Source organism: Homo sapiens, chromosome 3, assembly GCF_000001405.40.
Source record: "Homo sapiens chromosome 3, GRCh38.p14 Primary Assembly".
NCBI lineage: Eukaryota > Metazoa > Chordata > Mammalia > Primates > Hominidae > Homo > Homo sapiens.
The window spans coordinates 28,924,065-28,926,668 of record NC_000003.12 but is presented as its reverse complement, the minus strand read 5'-3'; positions in this window follow the sequence as shown (position 1 = coordinate 28,926,668).

Below are 2,604 nucleotides of genomic sequence, written 5' to 3'. Positions count from 1 at the left end.
ACAATTAAACCGAACATTCAAGGCCAAATACTTGAAGAAGGACAAAGTCTTATGTATTGTGTATGGCCAGAATAGATGGGAGAAGCAGTACCACCTAATCTCCCATCTTTAGACACCTGGCCAGAAATTCTCATGGACCTAAATTCTTCATTATGAGATTTGCAGGGTGGTAGGTGTAGTATTAGTAATGTTCTTAGACCATGATTTTTGGCTACCCCAAAATGCCTATTTCTGGGAAACCACAAGATGAGGTCTGTTCTCAAAACATCCTTGAAGCATCACAGGTGTTCCATTACATGCCCCAGGCTTAAAACTTACATAGGGTCACCAGGTTTTATTCAGCAGCAGGGCCCATTCTTTGGCAATCTGTCTTCTAAAGTTATTCCACCATAGTATTTCTCACTGATGTCTGTGGCCTTAAAAGGCCTACTATTATTATTATCACCACTTTATTTTGTTTAGTGAGACAAAGTCTATAGCATTAACCAAAATTTTTCTTCATTGAAGGTTAATTTTTCTTTCCTATTATAATAATAATTGTAGATAATAATTTTTAAAATAAGGTGTTTCTTATATGCTTAGGAAAAATAATCAAAAATACAACATTAAGGAAATCCCTACACAGGAATAAAAATAAAGTGTATAATTCCCACACTACTACAGAAATAGGAAGAAGGTAGTCAGAGCAGGTCAATGAAAATAGAGGTGAAGGAATGGATATCGTTTCTTTAAATTGATACAATACAAATTTTAAAATCATGCTATCAAAGAATATGGGAAATAGTGTTAACATACTATATAAGAGTATAATCTAAATAAAGACTACACTCTCAATTTTTTTTTTAAAAAAAAACCATTTATATACATTTTCCTGTAAGGATGTGAGTGAATATATGTGTGTATACACACACACACACACACACACACACACACACACACACACACACCCTTCAATATTTGTCATCTCCAGATGTTGGGATTACCTATCATGTATTTTCTTTAATGTATTTCTAAATTTTCCACATGAACTCATCTTAAATTAATAATCATTGTTAGTAATTTTAAATAAAAGAATTTAACATAATCAACAAAAATGATTAGACAAATGTGTTTTACTTGTAATAGATTAAAATTATAAACTCAAAAGTAGAGTAAAAGTAAAACAAACCCTAAAGGCATGCCAATGTTCAATACAAAAACAACATATTTTCATATTTTATTGTAACCAATTTCATTTACTAAGTAAAGCATATAATTATGAAATGTTATCAATTCAAATGAGTATTTTTGATAATACTCCATAAGATTAAGTCAGTCAACAATCTATTATAAAGTGTTTATTTTTAAATTTTTATCTTTTTATTATATACACTGAAAAGAATCCTGAACTTGCAATCAGAGGCTAGAATTCAAGAATGTGTTTGACATGGACAGCAGTGCCACTTTGGCTGTGACTCAGCATCTCTGACCCTCCCAGTGTCTTCAAATTACAAAACATTGTGATGGATTTCCACTTTTTCACAGGATTACTGTAAAAACCTGATACAATATTGAAACTGTGTTAAGATTGTGTGATTGGGATCTGGTTTTGCCATAGTCATCTGTAATTGCTAATGGCAAATCACAATTTTTTTAAAAGTTTTTAAAATGTAACGAGTGAATAGAAAACATTTCCTGGCATGTCACCCAAAATGACAAATACATGACACAGTGATGGTATAAAGTGAGACATAAATATGATTCAGTTGAATTACTCACATACCACCAAACAGAGAAATGGGTTCCATTGATAAATCTGTGGTTCAGATCTAACCTATATGGTTTAGGTTATAAAAATTATTGCCTTTAAATTACTAATATTTTGAAAGCTAGAGAATTAACCATCAGAAAATCTAATGTGTAGATACAAATGTGGCAGAAAGAAGAGTCACACAATATCTACCTATCCAAGATTATGTAGCTCAAACTAATTGCTAGTATTTCATTTCTTTAAGATCTTTAGATTTTGCAGTATTTGGTTGAAAATATGACTACAATGTAGTATAATAACACAGAATACAGACACTGATGATAGTAGATAAAATTGACAACAAATTGAAATACTTGGACAAATAAGAGATGCACTCAAATACCTTGGCAACAAGTATAATTACGATATTAAAATTATGTACCAAGCCTTAATTTTTAACAGGCAAGTATGTATTAATAAACAGGCAGTCTATGTAATATATGTATATAGTCTAAGAACACGGAAAACAATAACTACGTAAAGCACTAGAATAAAGCCATAATTACCAACTAATGAGGGTAAATATTTAATAATACATATATGTAATGCATCAAAACTTACTCATGTAGCAACTCAACAGTATAAAAATATTTGACAACGAAAGCAGACAAGAATATTTGTGAGCAATAGCAGTTGTCCCAAGTACTGAGATTACTGCTCATAAACTATTATTATTTGTCATAATTCTGATTATGATTCATATTAATACTGCTTCAGCTTCTATCACTTTGTCCTGTCCCTGGCTTGTTTTCTTAGACCTACATTTAGAGGCAGTATTCTATCCAGTTCCCATTTTTCTGTTCTAGATAGACAAG